The sequence below is a fragment of the Homo sapiens genome, chromosome 12 (genome assembly GCF_000001405.40).
Source record: "Homo sapiens chromosome 12, GRCh38.p14 Primary Assembly".
NCBI classification, from domain to species: Eukaryota; Metazoa; Chordata; class Mammalia; order Primates; family Hominidae; genus Homo; species Homo sapiens.
The window spans coordinates 113410872-113438281 of record NC_000012.12 but is presented as its reverse complement, the minus strand read 5'-3'; the positions used below and the strand labels follow the sequence as shown (position 1 = coordinate 113438281).

General features: G+C 50.0%; 1 protein-coding gene across 4 annotated transcripts, besides 2 other annotated features; it reads right to left on the bottom strand.

Annotated features, from left to right (window-relative positions):
* Positions 1 to 5: 5 nt before the first annotated feature.
* Positions 6 to 15902, bottom strand: SDSL (serine dehydratase like). 4 transcript variants are annotated; one of them, NM_138432.4, is made up of 9 exons: positions 15805 to 15902; positions 11031 to 11152; positions 10126 to 10320; positions 9823 to 9862; positions 8983 to 9122; positions 4060 to 4148; positions 2726 to 2953; positions 1407 to 1531; positions 6 to 396 (listed from the first exon to the last, which is right to left on the bottom strand). In NM_138432.4, the coding sequence occupies exons 3-9, from the start codon at positions 10297 to 10299 to the stop codon at positions 203 to 205; spliced, it is 990 nt and encodes a 329-aa protein (NP_612441.1). In that variant the 5' UTR covers positions 10300 to 10320; positions 11031 to 11152; positions 15805 to 15902; the 3' UTR covers positions 6 to 202. The 4 variants fall into 4 exon arrangements, with proteins under 4 accessions (NP_612441.1, NP_001291922.1, XP_016874252.1 ...); NM_001304993.2 differs by lacking the exon at positions 11031 to 11152; XM_017018763.2 differs by lacking the exons at positions 11031 to 11152; positions 15805 to 15902 and adding an exon at positions 11295 to 12385.
* Positions 19645 to 20145: an enhancer, noted in NCBI's record as "H3K4me1 hESC enhancer chr12:113855942-113856442 (GRCh37/hg19 assembly coordinates)". NCBI's record gives its function as "activates a minimal SCP1, AML or CMV promoter by ChIP-STARR-seq in naive H9 embryonic stem cells {active_cell/tissue: H9 hESC(naive)}" and the evidence as "EXISTENCE:reporter gene assay evidence [ECO:0000049][PMID:30033119]".
* Positions 24715 to 24898: a silencer, noted in NCBI's record as "fragment chr12:113851189-113851372 (GRCh37/hg19 assembly coordinates)". NCBI's record gives its function as "represses an EF-1alpha promoter that drives an FKBP-Casp9 reporter gene in an ReSE screen in HepG2 liver carcinoma cells {active_cell/tissue: HepG2}" and the evidence as "EXISTENCE:reporter gene assay evidence [ECO:0000049][PMID:32094911]".

The following is a 27410-nucleotide window of genomic DNA, read 5'->3' as shown; positions in this document are numbered from 1 at the left end:
CAAACTCAATTCAGAAAGTGTTTATTGGCCGGAGTTGTCGGAGAGCCAAAAGAAGCAGTCCAGGAGGGCTTCCTTCAGGAGGCAGCCAGCACAGTTGCACAGGGCAGCTTCCACTGCCATCTGCCAGCACTGAGTCCTCCTCATCCAGACACAGGACTGTCCATGGGCCTCTCAGGGGTCTTTGGGGCCAGGATGGGACCCCTCAGACCTGGCCCAGGTGGGTTTTCAAAGCCTGCAGCTCTCGGCTGTTGATGTTGTTGCCTCCACACACGATTACCACAACTGAAGTCAGGGAAGGGGGCAGGCAGCCCTCGGCCTGGAGCCTCCGCAGGAGGCCTGAGTAGATGGCTGCTAAGGCTGCCCCACAGGCAGGCTCCACCAGCATACGCTCATCATCTGCCAGGATCGGGGGATGGAGAGAGGAAGGAAAGGGAAGAAGAACCACTCGGTGCTCAGCAGGCCCTGGGCACGGCAGATCCTTGCAGCCATCTCTCCAGCCAGTCAGCCATTCATCTGCTCTGCTGGCAATCCATCACTTGTCTCACGCTCTCCCCATCCATCAGCCTGGCCTCCTATCCTTCCACCATCCACCTTTTATCTCTCTATCCATCCATCCATTCCTCTATCCATCATTAGACTATCTATCTGTCCATCCATCAGTGTACCCATCCATCAACATATCCATCCATCCACCCATTCATAGCCATCCATCCATTCCTCTATCCATCATTTGACTGTCTGTCCATCCATCAACATGTTCATTAATCAATGTGTCTGTCCATTCATTCATTTCTATACCATTCATCAATCCGTCACTTCATTATCCATCCATCCGTCCATCCATCCACTGTCCATCTATCCATTACCCACCTTTCCACTCACTCATATATTCATCCCTTCAATCAACAAACATCTATTGAGTGCCTACTACCTGCCATGCCCTATGCCAGGAAGGCCCTAGGGACACGTCAGGGACTAAGACACACCAGCCCTCATGGGGCTCACATCAGTGATGTAGAGGGATAAGAACCAGGAGGTTATGAACACAGGGAGTGGTGCATTGGAGGTCCACAACCCAGGCAGCGTGGGGTGAGTGATCAAGGGAGGCTTCCTGAAGGAGGTGCTATGATGGCTGATAGCCCTCAGTCACATCAAACCAATAGGGAGCAGGGCCAGCCAGAGAGAGGAGCAGCATGTATGAAAGTCTGGGGGCTAGAGACAGCAAGATACACTCCTTCTTTATCCTCACCCCCTTCCATCTACTCGACGTGCACTTAGTGCACAGTAACTGCACACCTAGCCAGTGCCTGGTGCTGAGGATACAGATAAGACAGAACACACTCTTGCTAGAGGATGCAGGGACTTCGTGGGTCTCTGAGCCCAGGTGGAGGACAGGGATCACTCACCCAGGAGCTGCTGCACAGCGCTCACAGCCTCGGTGTCCTCCACCACTTCAGAGTGAATCTTGCACACCTGCATGCACTCCAGGGCCCGAGCGGCCACCGTCTTGGCACCCAGGCTCTTGGCCACACTGCAGGATAGAGCAGGGTGGGGCAGGGAGACCAGGGGCTCAGGGAAGAGCTGGTGAAACAGGTCTCTCCCCAGCCCCAGCCACCCCCTCCCATCCTGCCATGGGCTGGTTGGAGCTCAGCATTATAAGTCACAGAGGAGGTGCTCAAAAATAGTGTGTCCTTGCCGGGCGCAGTGGCTCACGCCTGTAATCCCAGCACTTTGGGAGGCCAAGGTGGGCAGATCACCTGAGGTCGGGGAGTTCAAGACCAGCCTGACCAACATGGTGAAACCCCGTCTCTACTAAAAATACAAAATTATCCGGGTGTGGTGGTGCATGCCTGTAATCCCAACTACTTGGGAGGCTAAGGCAGGAGAATCACTTGAACCCAGCAGGTAGAGGTTGCAGTGAGCTGAGATCGCGCCATTGCACTCTAGCCTGGGAAACAGAGTGAGATTCCATCTCAAAAAAAAAAAAATGCTCATCCACCAAGAACCTCAAAATGTGATCTTACTCGGAAATAGAGTCTTTGCAGATGTAATTAGTTAAATTAAGGTGAAATCATACTGGATTAGGGTGGGTCCTAAATTCAGTGATCATGTTCTTTTTAAAATTTATTGGCTTTTGGGGGGTTTGGGGGAGGACAGGGTCTTGCTAAGTTTCCCAGGCTGGAGCACGATGGCTATTCACAGGGACGATCATAGCACACAATAGCCTCAAACTCCTGGGCTCAAGCAAACCTTCCGTTTCAGCCTCCCAAGTAGCTAGGACTACAGGCGTGCGCTACCATGCCCAGGTAATTTTTGTATTTTTTTAGTAGAGACAGGGTTTCACTATATGTTGGCCAGGCCGGTCTCAAACTCCTGACCTCAAGTGATCCACCTGCTTCAGCCTCCCAAAATGCTGGGATTACAAGCATGAGCCATGGTGCCTGGCCTACATTTTCAAACTTATTTGCAACACACATGGATTGCTTTTGTAATGATAAGTCAATGAAAGCTTGTTTTAAGAACTGATTAGGTTTACATGAATCATATTCCTCATCTCCTTTTTCAGCACTGCCTTCTAACTCAGGTCCACTTTACTGTGGTTGGAGTCCCAGGACCAAGGACAGCCTTTTGGGTGCCCCCGTCTCCACCGGCTGGGACTGGAAGGCCCTAGGACAGTGGCACACCCACCCTCCAGCCCCTACAAATGTCCCCAGCCCTTACCCACCTGGTGATGTCTGGAAGTGTGACCAGCTTGCCGGCTGTGATGGCCGCATTGAAGCAGTGTGCCCCATGGGTCTCCATGGCAATGATGGGTACATGCTGCCAGCCCACCTCCAGCAGGCCAGCCACCACCCCGGCCAGGAGACCCCCACCCCCAACTGCCAGCACCAGGGCACCTGGTGGGGTCCTCAGCACTGCTTTCAGCTCCTGCACCAGGCTGGCGTGGCCTTTCCTGGGGAGGGGGGGTGAGAGGGAGAAGCAGAGTGAGGGAGGACCCCAGCCCAGATGGCTCCTGTGGTGGGGGAATTTACCAGGGGTGGGTTCTCTGCCCCCTCATATACATAAACCCCTCCCCACCATCCCCATCCCATCCACGGTGAGGGGAGAGGAAGTCCTGCAACAGTTACTTCACTCAGCTTCATTCATTCTCTTTATTTTTATTTTTTTGGATAGAGTCTCACTCTGTCACCCAGGCTGGAGTGCAGTGGCACGATCTCAGTTCACTACAACCTCCACTTCCTGGATTCAAGCGATTCTCCTGCCTCAGCCTCCCGAGTAGCTGGGACTAAAGGTGCGCACCACCACGCCCAGCTAATTTTTGTATTTTTAGTAGAGATAGGGTTTTGCCATGTTGGCCAGGTTGGCCTCGAACTCCTGACCTCAGGTGATCCACCCGCCTCGGCCTCCCAAAGTGCTGGGATTACAGGCGTGAGCCACCGCGCCTGGCCTCATTCATTTTCTTTATTATGTATTTGTTTGCTCATCCCTTCCCATCTCCATCAACCTCCCAGGCCCTTTCTTGGACATTATCCCAATTTAGCCCCCTCCCCAACTTTGCAAAGAGGCAATGGCAATGTGTGGTTAAGAGGGGACAAGTGTATCACTTGGGACCAGCCTGACTGCAGCCCTTTGTATCTGCCATGTACTTAGCTGTGTGATCCGGGGCAAGTTGTTTGACCTCGATGTGCCTCAGTTTCCTCACCTATGAAATGGGGATAATAGCACCCACCTCTAGGGCTTTGGGGAGGGTAAATAGAACAGTGCAGGAGGAGCCATTAGCCTGGTGCCTGGTCCCAAAGCACATATTCAGTAAAGGAGACTTGGTACTATCACTTCCATTTTACACACATAGAAACTGAGGCACAGGATCTGGGGTGCTTTGCACAAAGTCCCACAATTCACAAGGGGGCAGAAGTGGGATCTGAACCCATGTCTGCCTGGCTTTGAAGCCTCTTCTCCCCTCTGGGCCTCAGTTTCTCCTTCTGCCCAATGGGAGGACCCTGACTCAGTGAAGGTCTCCCAGCTCTGGACTCCTGGGGAGAGGGGCGTCAGCCTTACCATATTAGGGGGTGGTCAAACGGGGGGACATTCTCCCAGCCGTCCCTCTTGGCCAACTCTTGCGCCCTCAGATTGGCCTCGTCCCAGACCTACAGAGAAACCAAGGGCCCTCAGAACAGCCGGGAGTGGGACTGCTATGGAGGCCGGAGCAGAGGCCCAGGATCTCCTTGGTGGCCCCAGGATCTAGTAGTCTGGGGACAGCCCTGCAGATGAGACCATACCTGGTGTGGGCCCAGAGGCCTCCTGAGAATTGGACAAGCACTTCCAGGCGGACAAACAGATGCCATGTGCTTTCCACAATACCCAAGCGACCTGTCCTACTGCCACACTATGAAAACCAGGCCAGGCCAGCCAGGGAGGCTGGGAGCGGGTCAGCTCCAAGGTCAGCCACATGGTGCCCACTTCTAGCCAACCAGTAGGGGAGAAGCCCCCTAAAGTCAAACACCAGATAGCAACTTGGTCACCATAGAGTGTGTCCGTGGAAACCAGCAATGGCCCAGCTGATGGCCTGCTAGTTGAGTTCAAGCAGCCAGAGAGATGGCACATAGGGCCGGCCCTGACCATGATGGACCCAAGGCAACCACAGCAGGGGTGAGTTTTCTCTTCTCACTGGCTTGGCCTCTGTGGCAGAGATCCAGGTCCCCTGCTCATTCACACACCATTGACAGGCTTTCTTCCCTTCCCTGACTCATTTCTACACTCCCTACCAATGCTTCCTGCAATCACCTCCCAAATAAACCACATGCACCCCAGTCCTCATTTCAGGGACCGCTTTTGGGAGAATCCAAACTAAGACAGCATTTCAGAGGGACCCCATGCCAGCCGATCTCAGCAGGAACCAGATACAGAAACTAAATGGTAGACAATGGCCTCCTCTCCCAAGGGAGGGATGGAGGGTCACAAGGGGGGCAGAACTAGCCCCTGCTCATCCTCAGGGACTCTGCAGTGCCCACTCTGTGCCCAGTTCTAGGTATGGGGACTCTTCAGCAGGAGAGAAGCCAAGAAATGGTCTCTGACTGCAAGGAATTTCCCATCTGGCTGAAGAGAAGAGTCTCATTCCCCTGAGTTACTGAAACAAAAAATACACTGTTGGTGTGAATGCAAATGAGTTCAGCTCCAATAGGAAGCAGTTTGGAGATTTCTCAAAGAACTAAAAATAGAATTACCATTTGACCCAGCAATCCCATTACTGAGTATCTACCCAAAGGAAAATAAACCATTTTACCAAAAAGATCTGCATTTGTGTGTTCATCACAGCAGTACTCACAATAGCAAAGACATGGAATCAACCCAGGTGCCCATCAATGGTGGATTGGATACAGAAAATGTGGTGCATATACATCATGGAACACTACGCAGCCACAAAAAAAGATCATGTCCTTTGCAGCAACATGGATGCAGCTGGAGGCAATTATTCTAAGATAATTAACTTAGGAACAGAAAACCAAATACTGCATATTCTCACTTACAACTGGGAGTTAAACACTGGGTATAAACATGGGCACAAAGATGGGAACGAGAGACACTGGGGACTCCAAAAGTGGGGAGAGAGAGAGAGTGGCAGAGGTTGAAAAATACCTGTCAGCTGGGCGCAGTGGCTCACGCCTGTAATCCCAGCACTTTGAGAGGCCGAGGCAGGCAGATCCTGAGGTCAGGAGATCCAGACCATCCTGGCCAACATGGTGAAACCCCGTCTCTACTAAAATACAAAAAAATAGCCGGGTGTGGTGGCGTGCACCTGTAATCCCAGCTACTCAGGAGGCTGAGGCAGCGGAATCGCTTGAACCCGGACAGTGGAGGTTGCAGTGAGCCAAGATGGCGCCACTGCGCTCCAGCTTGGCAACAGAGCAAGACTGTCTCAAAAAAAAGAAAGAAAGAGAGAGACAGAGACAGAGAGAGAGAGAGACAGAGAGACAGAAAGAGAGAGAGAGAAAGAAAGAAAGAAAGAAAGAAAGAAAGAAAGAAAGAAAGAAAGAAAGAAAGAAAGAAAGAAAGAAAGAAAGAAAGAAAGAAGCAAACAAACAAACCTGTCAGCCAGGCACAGTGGTTCACACCTGTAATCCTAGCATTTTGGGAGGCTGAGACAGGAAGATTACCTGAGGTCAGGAGTTCGAGACCAGCCTGGCCAACATGGTGAAACCCTGTCTCTACTAAAAATACAAAAATTAGGCTGGGCGCAGCAGTTTACGCCTGTAATCCCAGCACTTTGGGAGGCCAAGTCAGGTGGATCACGAGGTCAGGAGTTCGAGACCATCCTGGCTAACATGGTGAAATCCTGTCTCTACTAAAAATACAAAAAAAAAAAAAAAAATAGCCAGGCGTGGTGGCTGTAGTAGCTGGCCTGTAGTCCCAGCTACTCGGGAGGCTGAGGCAGGAGAACGGTGTGAACCCGGGAGGCAGACCTTGCAGTGAGCCGAGATTGTACCACTGCACTCCAGCCTGGGCAACAGAGCGAGACTCGTCTCAAAAAAAAAAAAAAAAATTAGCTGGGTGTGGTGGTGGGTGCCTGTAATCCCAGCTACTTGGGAGGCCAAGGCAGGAGAATTGCTTGAACTTGGGAGGCGGAGGTTGCAGTGAGCCAAGATCATGCCACTGCACTCCAGCCTGGGCGACAGAATAAGACTCTGTCTCAAAAAAAAAAAAAACAACTACCTGTTGGTACTATGTTCACTACTTGGACAATAGAATCATTAGAAGCCCAAACCTCTCCATCATGAAATATACCCATGTAACAAACCTGCACATGTATCCCTGAATCTGAAATTAAAACTAAAGAAAAAAATAGATTCAAAACCGTGTAGTGCTTGACATCTCTCACCTGTAGGGCCCCAAGCAGCCTCCTCTCTGGCTCCTCTCCTGCATTGCCCCAGAGCAGGCAGAGTGAAAATCCAACCAGGTCCCTCCCCTGCTCAAACTCCTTTCATGCTTCCCTAGTGCTCTCAGGTGGAAACACATTAGCTTCACCTACAAGCCACCCTGCCTGATGGAGCAACTCTGCCCCTCTTCAGCCTCACCTTTCACCATCCCTCCCTGACGCTGGGCTCAGCCTGAATGCACCGTGCTCATCCACGCCACACCTTCACCCACAGCTTTTCCTCTGTTCACAATCAGATCATTCCCTCCCTTTTCTCCACTGTGGGGACTCAGATTTCTCCTTCAATACCCAACCCTGGGGACCCTTGTTGGGAGCCTGTCCTGGATCCTTTCCCCAAATCTAAGGCACAGCCCATTGGTTTGACCACTGCCCAATTCTCCACTGCCTCCCTCTGTTAGAATCATACACCTACACCTTGCCATGTGGCTTAATAGTTACTATTTTTAGAGACATGCTCTTACTATGTTGCCCAGGCTGGCCTCAAACTCCTGGGCTCAAGTGATCCTCCCAACTCAGCCTCCTGAGTAGCTGAGACTACAGGTGCACACCACAGTGCCCAGGTTTTTTATCTATTTATTTATTTATTTTATTTTTGCCATGTGGCTTTGCTGTTCTTCTCACTAGAGTGGGTGGAGCACATGTCCCCTCCCCATTGATGTTGGTCTCAGCTGTGTGACTTGCTCTGGCCAACAGCATATGGCAGAACTGACAGTGTAACAGTTCTGGGCTGAGGTCTTAAGAGCCGTCATGCGTTTCTTCTCACCCCTCTTGCCATTGCCCTTGAGAAGAACGTGCCCCCAGTGGCCACTGGCTGGGGAAGACACAGGGGACATCTGCAGACCTTAATCCTTCCCCACATTCCAAAGCAGAACCACCCTAACCCTCCCACAGACCCAAAGCATCGGAAACAAATGTTTCTTATAAGCTGCTGCTATTTGGGGGCTGTTTGTTATGCAGCATTACCAAGCAACAATAGCTGATTAAAACAACACACCTTCTCTCTGACTTCCTTGGTGCCCTGTGCTTCCCCCGTGGCAACACTTTTCACACTTTGTTACCATCATCTGGTTACCTGTGTGTCTCCTCATAATAATCTCAAATTTATGAGTGTAAAGACCATGTCTTACTATCTCTGTGTTTCTAGAATGTCTAACATAGCAGGTACTGAATATGTGCTCAATCAATATCTGATGGATGGATGGATGGGTGGATGGATGGATGGATGGATGGAAAGAAGGGAGAGAGGAGAGAGAAAGGGTGATGTGTGGAAGGATGGTTAGATGGATGAATAAATGGAAGGAAGGAAGGAGAAAAGAAGGAAGGAAGGAGAGAAAGAATGAAGAAAGGAAGGAGGGAGGGAAGGAGGGAGGGAGGGAGGGAAGAGGGAAGGAGGGAAATAATGAAGGAAGGAAAGAAGAAGAGAGGGAGGGAAGGAAGGACAGAAGAAAGGGAAGAAACTATATACAGGAAGTATTTGGGACCAGCTTTAACGTACCATAGTTTGGCTTTTAGTTTTAATTTCGAGAGGTTTAAAAATCTGTTTTCCATTATTTGAATGATTTTTTCCTTCTTCACAGAAGGAAAGACAGATTTTGTATCTGTGTCTCTATTTCTTTGGTAACAAAGGGAACCGGTGATATCTTTCTCAGTGGATACCATTTCTATTGGGGTGGTCTCAGAATGAGAACTAATGCTGCCATCATCTTGATACTTCTTGTCTTATCTAACAGCAAAAATGTTAAAAGTAGATAATACCAGGTGCTGGTGAGGATATAAGGAGACAGACAGTCTCCTGTTCATCGTCAGCTTCCCATTTGTCTTGGTTCACACATGAGGGGTACTTCTCAGGGTGGGCAGAGGAAAGTTGGGAGATCCCAGCCCTCAACACCCATCCCACCTCATTCCCCCCTCAGCTCAGCTATCCTGAGAGAGGACTGGGTCCCAGCCACAGCTCATCGAAAGGAAAAGGAGACAGGATGTCTTAGGGGTGGGGTGAGGTGAAGGAGAGCAGCCCACCCAGATGGTTCTCCCCTTCCCAGAGCCCTTACCTTTCCAGTCAGCTGAACCTCGGCCCCCTCCCCCTGCAGCCTCTGCACCACCTGCAGGGAGGTGCTCTCGGGGAGCACGATGGTGGCAGGAATGCCCAGCTTCCTAGCAGCATAGGCAGCAGCGATGCCCGCATTACCCCCTGTGCAGAAAGGAGGAAAGGGGCAGTGGGCAGAGCTGATTGGCCTTTGATATGCCTTCCCCTCCCCCTCCATATCCCTTCAGAGTCACTCGTCCCCAACATTCATATGCCCCATTGACTCCTTCCTCCACTCAAGAGGGGGACACATAATTTAGGTTGAGCCAATCAGAACCTAATCCCCCAACCCATGATTGGTTCAAGGATGAAGACGCCACCCAAGCGGGGCCAAAAAAAAAAAACAATTCCAGGATTGAGGCGAGGCATCGAGAAGGGGTGCTCCCTTTTCCCTAGGGTTGGGAGGCTGGTAGGATGCAAGGCTGGAATTCCTGGTGGCCATCTTGCTACCATGAGGCCCACCTAAAAATAAAGCTAATATGCAGGAAAGCAAAGTCCAGAGAAGGAGAGACAGAGAGGAGAGCTCCTGGATCCCCCTGTGCCTGAAAGCCACTTATCCCAAGAATTTTCCATTCTTAGAGCCTGTAGCTTAAACCTATATGAATTGGGTTTCTGGCACTTGCTACCATCATGAGTCCTGAACTATGGGAGAAGGCTAGGATGGGATGTACACAGTAGTCATCTCATCAATGACCTTGATGAGGCTGGGCCTTTAAGAGGAGACCAACCCTGGATGTGTACTGCCGCTCCAGCCTATTCCTCCTCCCCCAACCTCTGCCCATGAAACAAAAAAAGGTGGGGTCACCTGAGGAGCACACCAGGTGTCTGCATCCCTTCTTGGCCATCTGGGAAGAGAAGGAATGGGGTTAGCGGCTAACCCAAGCAGGTGTCATGAAGGCCTATGTGGAATGGCGTTAGAGTCTCCCCATCCCACTCCCAATACGCCTTTACCCCTCATCCTGCCCACAGCCCTGCCCTTACCTTTCCCCTCCCATCTGCACGAGTTCATGTTTCCCCTCCTGCCCGAACCCGTCCCCAGCCCACACCCCTCACTCTTCCCTCCCTCCTGCACAACCTCACTTCTCCCCTCCTTCCCACACACCCTCACCTCCTGGCAGAAATGCCCAATGCCCCGAATCTTGAAGGAGCCGCTGGGCTGCACATTCTCACACTTGAGGAAGACAGGCATGCCCGCCACCTGGGACAGCGCCCAGCTCTCCAACAGAGGTGTGACCACGTGAAAGGGCTCCTGCTTGGCATGCTCTGCCACAGGGCCGTCCATTCTGGAGACCAGGTAGACAGCCTGCAGGAGGACACAAAGTCACCACCCAGGCAGTCCCCATCAAGAGTTCCCTTAACCAGGACAGGGAGGGGAAGGTGGAGAAAGCCCTTGGCTTAGGTGCCCTTCACTTCATCCAGCTGCTGAGCTGTGAGACCCCCATCAAGTATCTGTGACTCTCTGGGCCTCAGTTTCCCCATCTGGTCAAAGAAGTTTGGCCTGGGGTCCTTTCATTCCATAAGTGTGGCTGTGCTGGGGATGTAGAAAGTGGCCAATATATGGTGAGAAATGAATGAGAGAGTGGGAGAATTCATTCCTCAGTCAAAAAATACTTATTCAGCACCTACTATGTGCCAGGCATTTCCAGGTTTGGGGACCCACGAGTCATAAAAAACCTCCCACTAGGAAAAGTCACAGAATTTCAAATAGGAGTGACTTGCAGAGGGTATGGGGTGTTATTTTAGCAAAAGCAATCATGAAAGACATCTCTCAGGAGGAAAACTTTGTAAAAACGTTTGTTATGGAAAATGTAAACATAGCAAAAGTATTGAGAACTGTATAAAGACCTTCAGCTGGCAGGGGCACAGCGGCTCACGCCTGTAATCCCAGCATTTTGGGAGGCCAAGGCAGGCAGATCACTTGAGGTCAGGAGTTCGAGACCAGCCTGGCCAACAAGGTAAAACCCTGTCTCTACTAAAAATACAAAAATTAGCCAGGCATGATGGTACACACACTTGTAATTCCAGCTACTCAGAAGGCTGAGGCAGGAGAATCACTTGAACCTGGGAGGCGGAGGTTGCAGTGAGCCAAGGTTGTGCCACTGCACTCCAGCCTGGGTGACAGATCGAGACTCCGTCTCAAAAACAAACAAACAAACAAAAACCCTTCAGCTTCAGCAATCAACTCATGGTCTAACTCGCTCCCCTATCGGTGCCCACTCCCCCTTCCTGTGTCATTATTTACCCCTTAATTACTATTATTCTTTTATATTATTTCACCTGTAAATATTTCAGCATGTCTCTCTGGAGGTAAAGAACTTGTGTTTTTGAGACAGAGTCTCACTCTGTCACCCAGGCTGGAGTGCAGTACTGTAATCACAGCTCTCTGCAGCCTCGACCTCTCAGGCTCAAGCAGTCCTCCCACCTCAGCCTCCTGAGTAGCTGGGACTACAGGCACACATCACCACGTCTGGCTAATTTTTGTACTTTTTTGTAGAGATAGGGTCTCACTATGTTGCCCAGGCTGGTCTCAAACTCCTAGGCTCAAGGGATCCTCCTGCCCCAGCCTCCCAAACTGCTGGGATTACAGGCGCGAGTCACTGCATCTGGCCTAAGAACTCCTTTTTTATATGTAACCATATGGTTTCATGACTGTACATACATTTGTTCAAACACATTGAATTCTATACTTAAAGTGGGCTAATTTTATTTTATGTAAATTATACCTCACTGAGGCTAATTTTTTTAAAAATGTAATCACAATACTATGATCACATCTAAAAATATAATTTTTTCATATCATCAAATATCTGTTAATTGTTCACATTTCAAATCATCCCATTAAATATGATCAGTGGCTGATTCTGTGGTTGGTTGTGGTTTGGGGTTTTTCACGGTTTGAATCAGGATGCAAATCAGATCCGTGCATTTTGATTGGCTGAGGGGTCTTTTAACTCTGCCTCCATCTGTACGTTCTTGAAAGGGGAACTTTGAAATGGATGACAGGAAGAGAGCCAAGAGGAAAAGTTCCTACAGAGAACAGCAGCCAGGACCACCTCGAGGGAGAAATGCACTTTGGGGTGCCGCGGATGCAGACAGAAGGGGTTTGGGGCAGGAGGTGAGGGTAGGGGGTGAGGGCGGAGATGTGGACAAGGGTGCCAGCAGGGGGTTCCCGCCCACGGAGAGGAGTTTGGTTGTTATTCAAATTCTACCTGCAATGGAAAGCCATTGGGAGGTGGTGGTGGAGGTGGTGGTGGTGTTGGTGGTGGTCGTGGTGTTTTGAAAGGGAGTCTCGCTCTTGCCCAGGCTGGAGTGCAGTGGTGCAATCTCTGCTCACTGCACCCTCTGCCTCCCGGGTTCAAGCGATTCTCCTGCCTCAGCCTCCCGAGTAACTGGGACCACAGGCACACGTCACCACGCCTGATTAATTTTTTGTATTTTTTGTAGAGACGGGGTTTCACCATGTTGGCTGGTCTCAAACTCCTGAGCTCAAGTGATCTGCCCACCTCGGCCTCCCGAAGTGCTGGGACTACATCCGTGAGCCACCGCGCTCAGCCCTTTGAGAGGTTTGAAGCCGAGGAGCTGTGTGTGAATGGACCAGTGGGTAAGGACGAAAAGAAGAGATGGAGGAAATGAGAGGGAGGAAAAATAGTAGAGAAAAAAAAAGGAAAAAATACAGCCAGCTCCTCTTGTCCCAGGCAGAAAAGCACTGGGCCGGTCCCCACCATTCCATTATTGGCCGCTAGGGGGGGCGCTGCAACTTCCCCTGCCCACTCACAAACCTAACCTTCTTGTCCACCCTTAAGTCATGGCTGGGGTTCCAAGATCAGAGAGATCAGGGTCTCTTGGCCCTGAGTTTGACCCCACGCCCTTGTCAGAATAGCCTTGAGAATCCTCAGGGCCCCCTCGGGCAGGGCACAGCCTGAGCCACCTCTTCCCAGTCCCACCCAGGGCACCTCTCAGCTTCGGGCATCAGGGGAAAGAAGCCCATGGGTCATCACTGATCCCCAAATGCCGCATACCCCAGCCTAGGCCTCAGCTCAACCCTGGACCCCAAGAGCACAGGCTTTGGGGTCGACCAGAAGCAAAAGTTAGAAACCAGCTCCGACTTCCTGGCTGTGTGACCCAAACAAGTGTCACAACCTCTCTGTGCCTGTTTCCCCTTCTCTAAAATGGGGATAAAAACAGTCCCCAACTCACAGGTTGTGGTGTAAGTTAATAAGAATAACATTGGCCAGGTGCAGTGGCTCATGCCTATAATCCCAGCACTTTGGGAGGCTGAGGCGGGTGGATCCCTTGAGGTCAGGAGTTCAAGACCAGCGTGGCCAACATGGTGAAACCCCGTCTCTACTAAAAATACAAAAATTAGCCGGGTGTGGTGGTGCACACCTGTAGTCCCAGCTACTTGGGAGGCTGAGGTGGGAGAATTGCTTGAACCTGGGAGGTGGAGATTGCAGTGAGCCAAGATCTCACCACTGTTCTCCAGCCTGGGCAACAGAGTGAGACTGTCTTTAAAAAAAAAAAAAGAGAGAGAGAGAGAATAACATCTGTCATTTGTTGAGTCCCTATTATGTGCCAGTCATCAGCTGAGTCCTCTGGAGACGTTATCTCACTGATACCTTGTGTCATGCTTTGAGCATGGTGACCTGCTTACCCTTACTTTAGCATGTTTACAGGGCACCTACAAGATGCAGGCCCTGACCTAGCAACAGGGGATACCACTGTGGACAAGATAGACATCAACCTTGGAGCTGAATTATAGCCTGATGAGATGGGCACTTAACAAATAACTGCATAGACAAACAAAATAATCAGAAATGTTGAAAACTTCTAAGAGGGAAACACGCATATAGGGAGTCCTAAAGAGAAGAACAAGGGGACCTACTTTGGGTATGGAGGTCAGGAAAGACCTCTTAGAGGAAGTGACCATTAAAACTAAGAACTGAGACAGGGCGCGGTGGCTCATGCCTGTAATCCCAGCACTTTGTGAGGCAGAGGCAGGCGGATCACCTGAGGTCAAGAGTTCAAGACCAGTCTGGCCAACATGGAGAAACCCCGTCTCTACTAAAAATACAAAATTAGCCGGGCATGGTGGCGCATGCCTGTAATCCCAGCTACTCGGGAGGCTGAGGCAGGAGAATTGCTTGAACCTGAGAGGCGAGGTTGCGGTGAGGCGAGGTTGCAGTGAGCCGAGATCGCGCCATTGCACTCCAGCCTAGAGAGTAAGAGGGAAACTCTGTCTCAAAAAAAATAATAAAAAATTAAAAATTAGACCCGAAAAATGAGAACCAACCAACCACACAACAAACTGCAAGAAGAGCGTGTACATGGCAGGACTATTGTGAGGATTCAATGAGCCTGCATGGTAAGGGCACCCATGTTGGGTGTCTGTCCACTTGGAATTGGGTCTCTCTTCCTTTTTGGTGAAATCCCCAGATTTTTCCCCTGGGGATCCTGGGATTGTCAGGATGAACTCCCCCTACTCCATAATCCTTCCGCTTTCTTGTTTTTTTGGTGTTTGTTTTAGAGACAAGGTCTCACTCTGTTGCCTGGGCTGGAGTGCAGTGGCACGATCATGGCTCACTGTAACCTTGAAGTCCCGGGCTCAAGCAATCCTCCCACCTCAGCTTCCTGAGTAGCTGGAACTGTAGACATGCACCACTGTATCCGGCTGATATTTTAATTTTTATAGAGATGCAGTTTTGCTGAGTTGTCCAGGCTGGTCTTGAACTCCTGGCCTCAGGTAAATCTCTTGTCTCTGCCTCTCAAAACACTAGGATAACAGGTGTGAGCCACCTGTTGGCTCACAACAGATGAGTCATTAACTCACCATTGACTCCATTTTATAAACAGTGAACCTGAGGTCCAGAGAGATTAAGTAACTTATCCAAGTTCACACAGTTAGAAACAGCATAGCCAGAATTCACACCAGGCAGTGTCTTTGGCATCTGTGCTATTAACCGCGATGCTATACTTTCTCTAATATACTAGTGTTATCGTTACTATTATGAAAGCTGCATGCATTTAATATTTATTGCCAATTGTCCTTTGGAACCAAATGCTCCTGGCTCAGTTTCCAGGCTTCCCCAGCCCTCTTGGTTATACTGACTCACAAGAGGACAGCAGGCATCAGTTAAATGAAAAAGCCCCAAGTTGCCAACAGCCTTATCAACCCCAGACCCCATCAGGCACCTGAGGTCTGGGACTGAGCTGTCTTGGCCCAGGGACACACACCTCTTGTCCCGTATGGCAGCCACCAGGGCTGAAATGGGGGACCTGGGTCTCCCTGCTGTGGAATAACCCAGGGGAAAGCAGGGGGCTCAGGCTCAGGTCCCAGTCATGCCAACCTTGGCCAAGTCACTTTTGTCACTGGGCCTTACCTGTCACATCTATGAGTTGAGGTAAGGACCACCAGTGCTGTCCACCTCACTTGTCCCCAAAGCCTTTCCCCAGAGGCCACCTTGGTGGCACTCCACAGCCAAATCCCTGGTGCCAGGGCTGGGACACCTCGGGCTGGCCCCTTGGCTGGCAGAATGCCCAACCCTGCCCCTCTGGCAGGCAGAACCCACTCTCGCCCTTCAGGGTCCCCAGCACAACACTTTCTTCTGCAGGGCACCCTGAATTCAATCGACATTCCCAGGAGGGCCTAGAACACGCTCAGGCCCTCTCACTCCCACCTGCTCAGCTTGGACTTTGCCCAAAGCCTCCCAAACTCCTGCAGCCTCTCATCAGCCTCTCATTCACACACACACTGAGCCCCAGGGGCCCCAGCTGGCCCCAGACCCCTTACCTCCCTGCCCAACTATCCCAGACCAGCGTGGCCCCAGCTCCTGCCCTCCAGCCTGCCAGGGAACCAGCTCTTTCCAGGAACCGGCTCTGTCCAGCTTCAGGCAGCTTCCGGCAACCTTGGTCCCTCCTCCTTTGTTAAAGAGAAAGCTCCAGACCCTAAGCCTCCGGGTGAAGACGGAGGAGGAGAGGGGATGAGAGCAACCCTCACCGCTTTCCCGGGCACTGCCTATGACTCATGCACCACCCTGTCTCATTTGACAGATGAGCAAACTGAAACTCAGAAAAGGGAACTTATTTGGCCAAAGCTTCCCAGACAGCAAGGGGCAGAGACAGCCTTTACCCCTGGCCCTGGGCCATCTCTTCCGGGATGCAGGCATCTCCATGTCTTCTCATTTTAGGTCTAGTGATTGTCCCGGATGCTGAACCACTGTTGGGGTCAGCTTAGGTCTGGGATGGGAAAACAAGGACAAGGGAACTTTTTTTTTTTGAGACACAGTTTCATTCTTGTCCCCCAGGCTGGAGTGCAATGGTGCGATCTCGGCTCACTGTTACCTCCGCCTCCTGGATTCAAGCGATTCTCCCACTTCAGCCTCCCAAGTAGCCAGGTTTACAGGCACCCACCACCACGCCAGCTAATTTTTGTATTTTTAGTAGGGACAGGGTTTGACCATGTTGGCCAGGCCAGTCTCGAACTCCTGTCCTCAGGTGATCTGCTTGCCTCTGCCTCCCAAAGTGCTGGGATTACAGGCGTGAGCCACTGCACCTGGCCAAGGAAACAATTATTATAATTATTATTTGTGACATGGGAAAGGTATATTTTTGTCTGAAGCACCTCTCCGTCTCGGATATTTTACACGCAGCATGAGAACCCAAGCAATTATTTGCTACTCAGATGAATGACTGACCATTCATTCATTCATTAAATGTTTATTGGACACCTACTATGTGCCAATCCCTGGAACTTTGGCCTCAAACAAAATAGCATGTCCTCTGCCTTCACAAAGCCCTTAGAGAGGGCCATTAGAGAGCACTTATTAGTGCTATCAGATGTTAGCAGCTGGCAGGGTGGGGCAGGGCTGTGGAACCCAGAGCAGGCACCCCGCCTGGCCCTGGGGGGCTGGGGAGGCTTCCTGGAGGAGGGGAAGTCTGAGTGGAGCCAGGAGTCAGGCACAGGGAGTGCAAAGGTCTGGAAATGAAAAACATGATATATTCCAGGGTCAGGGTAGTATCCAGTGGGGCTGGGAGGGAGAAGGCAGGGGTGGGGAAGCAAGTGGGGTTGAGGCTGGAGATGTGGGCAGAGATCAGAGTCCACAGGGATGCCTGTACCAATCCAGAGTTTGGACCTTACCCAGGGGCACTAGGGAGCCACAGAAGGCTTTAGGTGGGGGGAATGACATGGTCAAATTCATGTCTTGTCTCTGCACCATCTCACTGGGTGAACCTGAGCAGCTCGTGCCCATCTCTGGGCCTCAGTTTCCCTATGTGGAAAGTGGGAACAGGAAGACCTGGCATCACAGATGTTGTGTGTCCTTCTTGGGCTGTTTCTGATCTCCCCAGGTTTGATGATTAACTCCCAGCCACTTGGGGTTAGATGGAGCTGCTTGGCCGTGATCCTTAATGTGGACTCTGGCAAGTTTCTACCCATCCTCGCTTTAGACACACATCCATCCTTGTTGGGTGCCTTGTCCTGGACTGGGTACTGGGGACACAGAGGTGATAAAATCCAGTTTGTGCCTTGAAGTGGCCCCCAGCATGGAGGGGAGAGGAAGACACCCAATTCGGTAGCAACAATAACACTTCCTAAGATGACAGAGGGCAGAAAGTCCCCATAGGGTAGCTGGGGATGGGGCAAGATCAGGGAGGGCTTCTTGAAGTAGGCAGAGACTCAGCACACAGCTCAGACTTTGACAAGAAGCAGACTAGCTGCATTTAGTGCATGTCTACTGTACACCAACACGTGCATGCTGTCCAGCGTAACCCACACTGTTTATTTGTTTGTTTGTTTGTTTGTTTGTTTGTTTTACAAACGAGGTCTCACTGTGCTGCCCAGGCTGATCTTGAACTCCTGACCTCAAGCAATCCTCCTACCTTAGCCTCCCAAAATGCTCGGATTACAGGCAACAGCCACTGCGCCCAGCCCCCAAAGGTTTTTTAATAGTTGGCAATCTATTTCTGTGTGCATTAGGAAAGATGTGTGTATGTATGTAGGTATATATATATGTGTATACATATGTATGTGTATGTACATATAAAATATCAGACCCATAGTTTCATGGATATGATGGCTTAGGAAGAAGCTAAGGTAGGTATTAAAGTTTAAAAATGGAGCCTCTTTAAAAAATATATTAATTGGCCAGGCATGGTGGCTCATGCCTGTAATCCCAGCACTTTGGGATGCCGAGGCAGCTGGATCACCTGAGGTCAGGAGTTTGAGCGTGGCCAATGTAGTGAAACCCCATCACTACTAAAAATACAAAAAGCTAGCTGGACATGGTGGTGGGCGCCTGTAATCTCAGCTACTCGGGAGGCTGAGACAGGAGAATCACTTGAACCGGGGAAGTGGAGTTTGCAGTGAGCCGAGGTCGTGCTATTGCACTCCAGCCTGGGCAACAAGAGCGAAATTCCGTCTTAAAAAACATATATAAATATATATATGTGTGTGTGTATATATATGTTTATAAATATATATATTTGTATATAATATATATTTATATAAATATATATACTTGTATATAATATATATATTTGTATACAAATATACATGTTTGTATACAAATATATATGTATATAAATATATATATTTGTATATAAATATGTATATGTATATAAATATATATTTGTATATTATATATATTTGTATATAAATATATATATATTTGTATATAATATATATATTTGTATATAAATTATTAGTAGCAATAATAGTAGTAGTAGTTTCTGGCATGAACAAGCAGCATGCCTAGTAGTTAAAACACAGACCTGCAGCCAGGCTCTGATACAAATACTTGTTCTGCCACTTTCTCACTGTGTGACCCTGTGACCTTTTGTAAGTCACTTAACCTCTCTGTGCCTTGTTCCCTCAAATGTAAGATGGGGATAAAACACTACTTCCCTAGTACAGTGGATGTGAGGATCAAATGCATTAATGCAGGAAAATATTAGGACAGTAGTTAGTGCTCTGTGTTCGCTGCTGTTGCTTTTGCTTTATTTTGTTTTGTTTTTTGAGACAGAGTCTCACCATTCACTCTGTCGCCCAGGCTGGAGTGCAATGGCGCGATCTTGGCTCACTGCAAACTCTGCCTCACGGGTTCAAGGGATTCTCCTGCCTCAGCCTCCTAAGTAGCTGGGATTACAGGCTTGCACCACCACGCCTGGCTGATTTTTGTATTTTTAGTAGAGACAGGGTTTCACCATGTTGGCCAGGCTGCTCTCAAACTCCTGACCTCAAGTGATCTGCCTGCCTTGGCCTCCCAGAGTGGTGGGATTATAGGCATGAGCCACGGCGCCCAGCTGCTATTGTTTTGTATTGCTAATATAAAAGAGGTGATGGGACAATATGGCAAAAGTTGCAAAGGTGGCACGTAAGCGTTCAAAGTACCATGATGTCATTATATTACAGAATGCTAACAACTACCTGGAAAAGTAAGTATTATAATAAACCCTACATTGTGGAAATAGGGCCAGAGAGGCCAAGTCGCTTTCCCAAGGTCACACAGCAGTAGCAGAGTCAGGGCTCAGACCCAGAGGGACGAGGCTCCAGAGCTCCTGGCTTGGGTGACAAAGAGGATGGGCTGGGGAAGCCACGTGGCTGCATTGGAGAGCAGATGAGGCTGGAGAGGTGGGCCAGGTCACTGACCTGTCCCCACCAGAGCCATGTTCGTCAGCCAGCCCCTGTCCCTGACACCTTGGGCCGCAAAACACCCACCCCGGCCAGTCCCCTGGGTTATTCATTAAGCTTCATTACACCATCCTCACCCCTGGCTGACCTTCCTGTTCCCAGGGCAAGGGAATTGCGTGGAGAAGAGGGACGAAGCCTCTGACGCCTGAGATTAGCCTTTCCTTTCCCAATTTGCAGATTTAACCCTGGACTCTTCGTCATATGCTTCCCAAGGCCGAAGGCTTAGTTCCCCTAAATGGCAAAAGAGCTGAGGCTCAGGCAGCCCCAGCTAGTGAGTAATAACTGTGCCGGAATTCGGGTGCAGGTCTCCCAACACCCAATACAACAGAGCATCTTACCTAAGTTCTCAGACTCATCAACCCTGGCCAAGATGACAAATCACTGGAGCACTGGAGACCAGAGAGGGTCTCACACTGGGAGGTCACATTCCCCCTGGCTGGAGCTGGGGCACACTGTCCTCTGTAAAGGGACATGGCTCTATGTGTCTCGCTGTCCTAACCTCTCCCTACTGCAGCCCCAACACCTAACCGCCCCTTGATTGACCCCTTGTAAGTGTTTACCTTTGAGACCTTTATACAGAGGAACTTTCCCTCTGTCCTCTTGCCCTTGAAAAGGAAAGGAATCAGTGATCAAGGGAGAAGCTGAAGCACAGAAAGGTTAAGTAACTTGCTCCAGCTTGCCCAGCAAATAGGCCATGGGACCAATCTTCCAGGGACCCCACATCCAACCTGGATGCTCTTGTCCCAACAGATAGAAATTCACAGCCACAGCGTCTGAGCTGAAAGAATTCACAGAGGCCGAAACTGCCTTTGCAAAGAATATGACAGTGAGAAGTTCAGCCCGGCGGACTCCAGCCTGCTTCTAGCCTCACTGGCTGCGGACTCCAGCCTGCTTCTAGCCTCACTGGCTGCGGACTCCAGCCTGCTTCTAGCCTCATGGGCTGGCCATCCTCATTCCCAGGTATAGGCCAAGCCAACCATGGGAGGAATTCTTTTTTCTTTGAGACAGGGTCTCACTCTGTCACCCAGGCTGGAGTGCAGTGGCAAGATCACAGCTCACTGCAGCCTCAATCTCCTGGGCTCAAACAATCCTCCCACCTCAGCCTCCAGAGTAGCTGGGACTACAGGTGCGTGCCCACCAATTTCATTTTTATTTTTATTTTTTAGAGACAGAGTCTCCCTATGTTGCCCAGGCTGGTCTCGAACTCCTGGCCTCAAGCAATCCTCCCACCTTGGCCTCCCAAAATGCTGAGATTACAGGTGTGAGCCACCATGCCTGGCCCACCATGAGAATTTAATTTAATTTATAGTTTAACTTTGAAGCAAAGTCAGTCACGGTGGTTCACACCTGTAATCCCAGCACTTTGGGAGGCTGAGGTGGAAGGATCGCTTGGGCCAGGAGTTCAAGACCAGCCTGGGCAACATAGTGAGACCCTGTCTCTACAAAAAATAAAAATTAGCCAGGCATGATGCACACCTGTAGTCCCAACTCTTAAGGAGGCTAAGGTGGGAGGCTCACTTGAGCCCACAAGGTGAAGGCTACAGTGAGCCATGATCATGCCACTGCACTCCAGCCTGGGCAACAGAGTAAGACTCTGTCCCAAAAAAAAAAAAAAGAACAAAAAAAACAAAGCTAACCCCCTCCTTGCTCAGGGACTGAAATCACTTTTGTAAAACTAATAAAAGATCATGAAATTGAGATTATGAAAGGGGCTTGAATTCTGCTACAATCTAAGTGCAATCTCTGTAATCCCTTACTGTTTAACAGTCATGTGAGGGCTGAGAGTGGTGGCTCACGACTATAACTTTAGGACTTTGGGAGGCTGAGGTGGGAGGATTCCTTGAGCCCAGGAGTTCAAAGCCAGCCTGGGCACCATACTGAGACCCCATCTCTACTAACAGAAAAAAACATGAGCTGGGTGTGGTGGCACAGCTGTAGTCCCAGATACTCAGGAGGCTGAGGCAGGAGGATCCCTTGAGCTCAGGAGTTCGAGGCTGTGGTGATCTGTGATCGCACCACTGTACTCTAGCCTGGGCAACAGGGTGAGACTCTGTCTCAAAAAAAAAAAAAAAAAGAGAGAGAGTCATATGACCAGAGGTCACAAGATTTGTGACTTCCCCAATTACTCCTATAGAAACATTGCTATTATAGAACCTTAGATTGGTCTTTTGAGATGTTTTTCAGACTTCTGCATTCTGGTAATTGACTGACCTCCCAGCCCCCCAGACCCAGGACTCATGACTCAACCGGTATCTGATGACAAGTGCCCCACCTGGAGGTGGACTCACCCCATATTCCCCAACCTCAGCACTACTGACATTTGGGGCCAGATCATTCTTTGGTGTGAGCGGCAGTCATGTGCACTGCAGGAGATCACGTTACATCTTCCAGTCCTGTGCATAGCAGCCGCCCTGGCCTCCACCCACCAGATGCTAATAGCACCCTCTATCCCAGGCTTGACACCCCAAAATGTCTCCAGACATTGGCCAATGCCCACACCCGGGTTGCAAAATCGCCCCACTTTGAGAACCACTGTCCTTGAGTAGGGGGTCTGGGGTGGAGCCTTACTTGCACAGGGGCTGGAGAAAGTGGAGGGTGTGCAGAAACACCAGTCCTGCAAAAGGAAGGGCAGAAGGCAAAAAACGTTCCAGGGGCCTTATCAAGCACTGAGTCTTTAGAACATTTGGGGTGCTTTTGCATTTAGAATGATGAATGCGTGAAAACTGGGTAGTAAGAAAGCTGGGCAAGCGGTGGAAACACATACTGGCTTAGAGCAGGTATAAGGGGCTAACAGAAAGATCTCAGAGGGCCCTCCCTCCGGAAGAGAGGGGCCATATGCCCGAATGCACTTTTTTGTGTGTGTTTTTTGTTTTTTTGAGTTGGAGTCTCACTCTGTCACCGAGGCTGGAGTGCAGTGGTGTGACCTTGGCTCACTGCAGCCTCCACCTCCTAGGTTCAAGCAATTCTCCTGCCTCAGCCTTTTGAGTAGCTGGGATTACAGGCATATGGCACCACGCCCAGGTAATTTTTGTATTTTTAGTAGAAAAGAATTTTCATCATGTTGGCCAGGCAGGTCTCAAACTCCTGACCTCAGGTGATCCGCCTGCCTAGGCCTCCCAAAGTGCTGGGATTACAAGCATGAGCCACCACCCGCAGACACTGTATGCACTTTGAGCAAGGTCTCCCAGAGCTCCTCAGTCACGATCATTACAAGAGCCCACTGTCAGAGCTACTGCGATGCTCCCCAGCCCCATGCCTGCACAGCACGGGTGATCATTTAGCATTTTTCCTCTTCTTCTTCTTATGCTTCTCAGATATTTTGTTCATTTCACTTGGTAATGAATTAACCGATGTTTATTGAGCACTTACCTTATGCCAGGCACTGTTCTAGGCACTGGGAATTCAGCAGGAAACAAAACAGGCAAAAACCCTGCCCTCCTGGAGCTCACAGTCTAGTGGGGTGCAGCTGGAGTTGGGGAACAGGCACTAACCAGGGAAATGGCGGGTAAGATAATGGCAAGTGCTACCAAAAAAAAACAAAAACAGGCTGTGTGGTTTTCAATAGAGGGACCAGGGAAGTCCTCTCTGTGAAGGTGACATGTAAGTAAATATTTACAGGAGGTAAGGGGGTGAGACACCCTGATATCTAGGGGAAGACGGAGACAGGCAGGAAAGGTCAGGTGCAAAGGCCCTGAGGCAGGAGGGTGCCCCGAGTGCAGCAGGAACAGCAGAGAGGCCAGTGTGGCTGCAGTAGAATGAATGGAGGGGACAGTCGGCGAGGAAGAGGACAGAAAGAGAATGGAGCCACATCACGCAGAGCCTTGGAGGCTGAAGCACCGTCAGGACTTCAGCTTTTATTCCAAGTAAGACGGGAGCCATGGGAGGCTCTTGAGCAGAGCAGCAATGTGACCTGACTCCAGCAGAATAGGATCCCTCCAGCTGCTGTGTGGGGAATCAGCTGCCAGGGACCCCAGTGCGGAACTCCTGCAAGGGTCCAGGCACAGGACTCAGGGGCTTGAAGCAGGGTGGCGGCAGCAGACCTTGGTGAGAAGTGGTCACATTCTGGGTATTTTGAAGGTAAGGCCACCTGGCCTTCCTGCTGCAGCAGGTGCAGTGCATGTGACAGAGAAAGACACATCAAGACGTTTGGGGCCGGGTGCGGTGGCTCACGCCTGTAATCCCAGCACTTTGGGGGCTGAGGTGGGCGGATCACCTGAGGTCAGGAGTTCGAAATCATCCTGGCCAACATGGTGAAACTTAATCTCTTAATCTCTACTTAAAATACAAAAATTAGCCAGGTATGGTGGTATGCACCTGTAATCCCAGCTACTTGGGAGGCTGAAGCAGGAGAATCGCTTGAACCTGGGAGGCGGAGGCTGCAGTGAGCCAAGATCGCGCCACTGTACTCCAGCCTGGGCAACAGAGTAAGACTCCATCTCAAAAAAATAAATTAATTAAATTAAATTTTAAAATAGCAGCTGCTATTCTTTGAGTCCTTACTCGGTGCCTGGCCCTAGGCTGCCATTATCTATAAGACTCACAATACCTAGTAGCTATCATCGTTCCCATCTCTCCAGGCAGGAAACTGAGGCTAAGGGAACTTAGGTGACCACCACCCCAAGGTCACACAGCAGGGTAGCAGTTTCAGCCTGAGGTCTGAGACCTTAGTTAACCACGAGACTCAGGAGCTGGCTGCACTGGCCAGGGAGGGCAAACAGAGGTGAGAGCTGCCTGTCCTCCCGAGCTGTGAAAACAACCGTCAGAATCCCCACCTCCTGCCACAAAGGACAGGCTGATCTGGCCATCCCCCGGGACACTTCCCTGGAGGGTATGATGTAACTGATCCAGGAAGTGGAGATGACAGAGGCACTTGACAAAGCTCCCTGGCGGGACTCCACCATCCTCCTCCTAGGATTTCAGGCTTGTTTTAGATGGAGCTGGGCCTCAGTTTGTCCATCTGCGAAATGAACAGAAGGTGACTTGCACTTTCCTTCTTGCTTCCCAAGACTTTTTTCTTTCTTCTTTTTTTTTTTTTTTTTCCTTTTTTGAGACGGAGTCTCCGTCTGTCGCCCAGGCTGGAGTGCGGTGGTGCGATCTCGGCTCACAGCAAGCTCCACCTCCCAGGTTCAAGTGATTCTCCTGCCTCAGGCTCCCGAGTAGCTGGGACTACAGGCATGAGCCACCACACCCGGATAATTTTTTGTATTTTTAGTAGAGAAGGGGTTTCACCATGTTGGTCAGGCTCATCTTGAACTCCCAACCTCAGGTGATCTGCCCACCTTGGCCTCCCAAAGTGCTGGGACTACAGGCTCACCCAGTCATCCAAGACCTTTTAAAGGAAAACTAGGTAAGAGAAGAGCACCCTTGTGCTCCAGCACCCGGAGCTACAGACATGAATGCCCTAATGCCCTCTTAAGCACCAGAAAATAAAAATGACCATCTCTATTTTTTTTTTTCTGAGACAAAGCCTCTCACTCTGTTCCCCAGGCTGCAGTGCAGTGGCACAATCTCGGCTCACTGCAGCCTCGACCTCCTGGGCTCAAGCGATCCTCCCACCTCAGCCCCCCAAGTAGCAGGACTACAGGCACTTGCCACCAAGCCTGGCTGATTTTTTTTGTATTTTTTGTAGAGACAGGGTCTTGCCACGTTGCTAAGTCTGGTCTCCAACTCCTGGGCTCAAGTGGTCCACCCGCCTCGGCCTCCCAAAGTGCTGGGATTACAGGCGTGAGTCACAGCGCCTGGTCCAGCCATCACCTCTTGAGTGCTGACTATGTGCTGGGAACTGTCCTTACAGCTTTACATCAATTAAGCTACTTAAGCCTCATAACAAATCTAAGAGGTGGAAACTACTCTTAGTTGAAGAAACCAAAGCACAGAAAGGTTAAGTGACTTGTTCAAGGTCACATAGCAAGTTGATGGCAGAGGTTGGATTTGAACTTGGGCCTGTCCGACTGCACAGCCCATGCTGTCCACCACAAGGTTACACAGCCTCTCAGGGAAGTGATTTGCTTGCTGTCTGGAAATGAACAAGCCTGGGATACTACAATCACAGGTATGAACTAATCCCTCTGAGGTTCGAGCCTTTCCCTGAGACCCCTCCAGCAGCTGATGGACTGGTCAGAATGCCCCTATCACGTGGCCACTCTAACTGGTTCTGCCCCCATTCTCCCCAGAGTGACCTAGGGCAAGCCCCTCGTCCTCTTAGGTTCTCAGTCAGCCCATCCACATGACGGGACAAAGAAACACACATGTACGGCATGTGTAGGGTTTTTTGTTGTTATTGTTGCATATTTAAAAATTAAGAGGTTGCCAGGCTCAGTGGTTCATGCCTGTAATCCCAGCACTTTGAGAGGCCAAGGCAGGTGGATTTGTTGAGCCCAGGAGTTCAAGGCCAGCCTGGGCAACATGGTGAAACCCCGTCTCTACAAAAACATACAAAAATTAACTGGGCGTGGTGGTGCACACCTGTAGTCCCAGCTTCTTGAGAGGCTGAGGCAGGAGGATCACTTGAGCCTGGGAGGCTGAGGCTGTGGTGAGCCATGATTGTGCCACTGTACTCCAGCCTGGGCAATAGAGTGTGATCTTGTCTCAAAAAGAAAAAATGAATATGTACTCAGAAAGCAAATGTCCATGAATTGATGAACAGATAATCAACATGTGGCTTATCCATAGGATGGAATAATATTATTCATGAGAAGGAATGGAGGACTGGTACGTGCTGCGATGTGGATGAATCGTGAAAACGTGCCACCAGTGAAAGCAGCTGGACACAAAAGCCCACACATTGTGTGATTCCATTACACCAAATGACACAAGAACAGGGCAGCTGGGCACGGTGGCTCACGCCTGTAATACCAGCACTTGGGAGGCTGAGGCAAAGGATCACTTGAGGTCAGGAGTTCGAGACCAGCCTGGCCAACATGGTGAAACCCTGTCTCTACTAAAAATACAAAAATTACCTGGGCATGGTGGTGCACACCTGTAATCCCAGCTATTTGGGAGGCTGAGGCAGGAGAATCACTTGAACCTGGGAGGTGGAGGTTGCAGTGGGCCAAGACTGTGCCACTGCACTCCAGCCTGGGTGACAGAGTAAGACTCCATTTCAAAAAAAAAAAAAAACAGGCAGATCCGCAGAGACAGAATACAGACTGGTTGCCAGGGTCCTGGAGTGGGGAGGGAAGGATAGGGAGAGACTTTTTGGGGTGATGAAAATGTTCTGAAATTCATACTCTAAATGGGTGAATTGTATTGCTACATGATTTATATCTCAGTCGAGTTGTTATTTTAAAAAGCATATTCCCAGACGGGATATCAAAGACAGTGATATATATTTTGTCTTTTTCCCCTTTTTTGGTTCTTATATCATCCATTTTCTTAAGTTGATGTTTTTCAGATCACAACACTGATGCATTCTTTTTTTTTTCTTTTAAGACAGAGTCTTGTTACATTGCCCAGATTGATCTTGAACTCCTGAGCTCAAGCGATCCTCCCACCTCAGCCTCCTGAGTAGACAGGTGCACACCACCACACTCAGCTTTGATGCATTTTTTTTTTAATTGAGACAGAGTCTTGCTCTGTCACCCAGGCTGGAGTACAGTGGTGCAATCTTGGCTCACTGCAGCCTCCATTTCCCAGGCTCAAGTGATCCTCCCACTTCAGCCTCCCAAGTAGCTGGGACTATAGGCGCACACCACCACACCCGGCTACTT

Excerpts from the sequence above, each read along its gene's own strand:
- SDSL (XM_017018763.2), bottom strand. Across the intron at positions 2,954-4,059 it reads TTTGACCACCCCCTAATATG|GAAAGGCCACGCCAGCCTGG; the intron begins GTAAGGCTGACG and ends CCCCCTCCCCAG. Across the intron at positions 1,532-2,725 it reads ACACTTCCAGACATCACCAG|TGTGGCCAAGAGCCTGGGTG; the intron begins GTGGGTAAGGGC and ends TCTATCCTGCAG.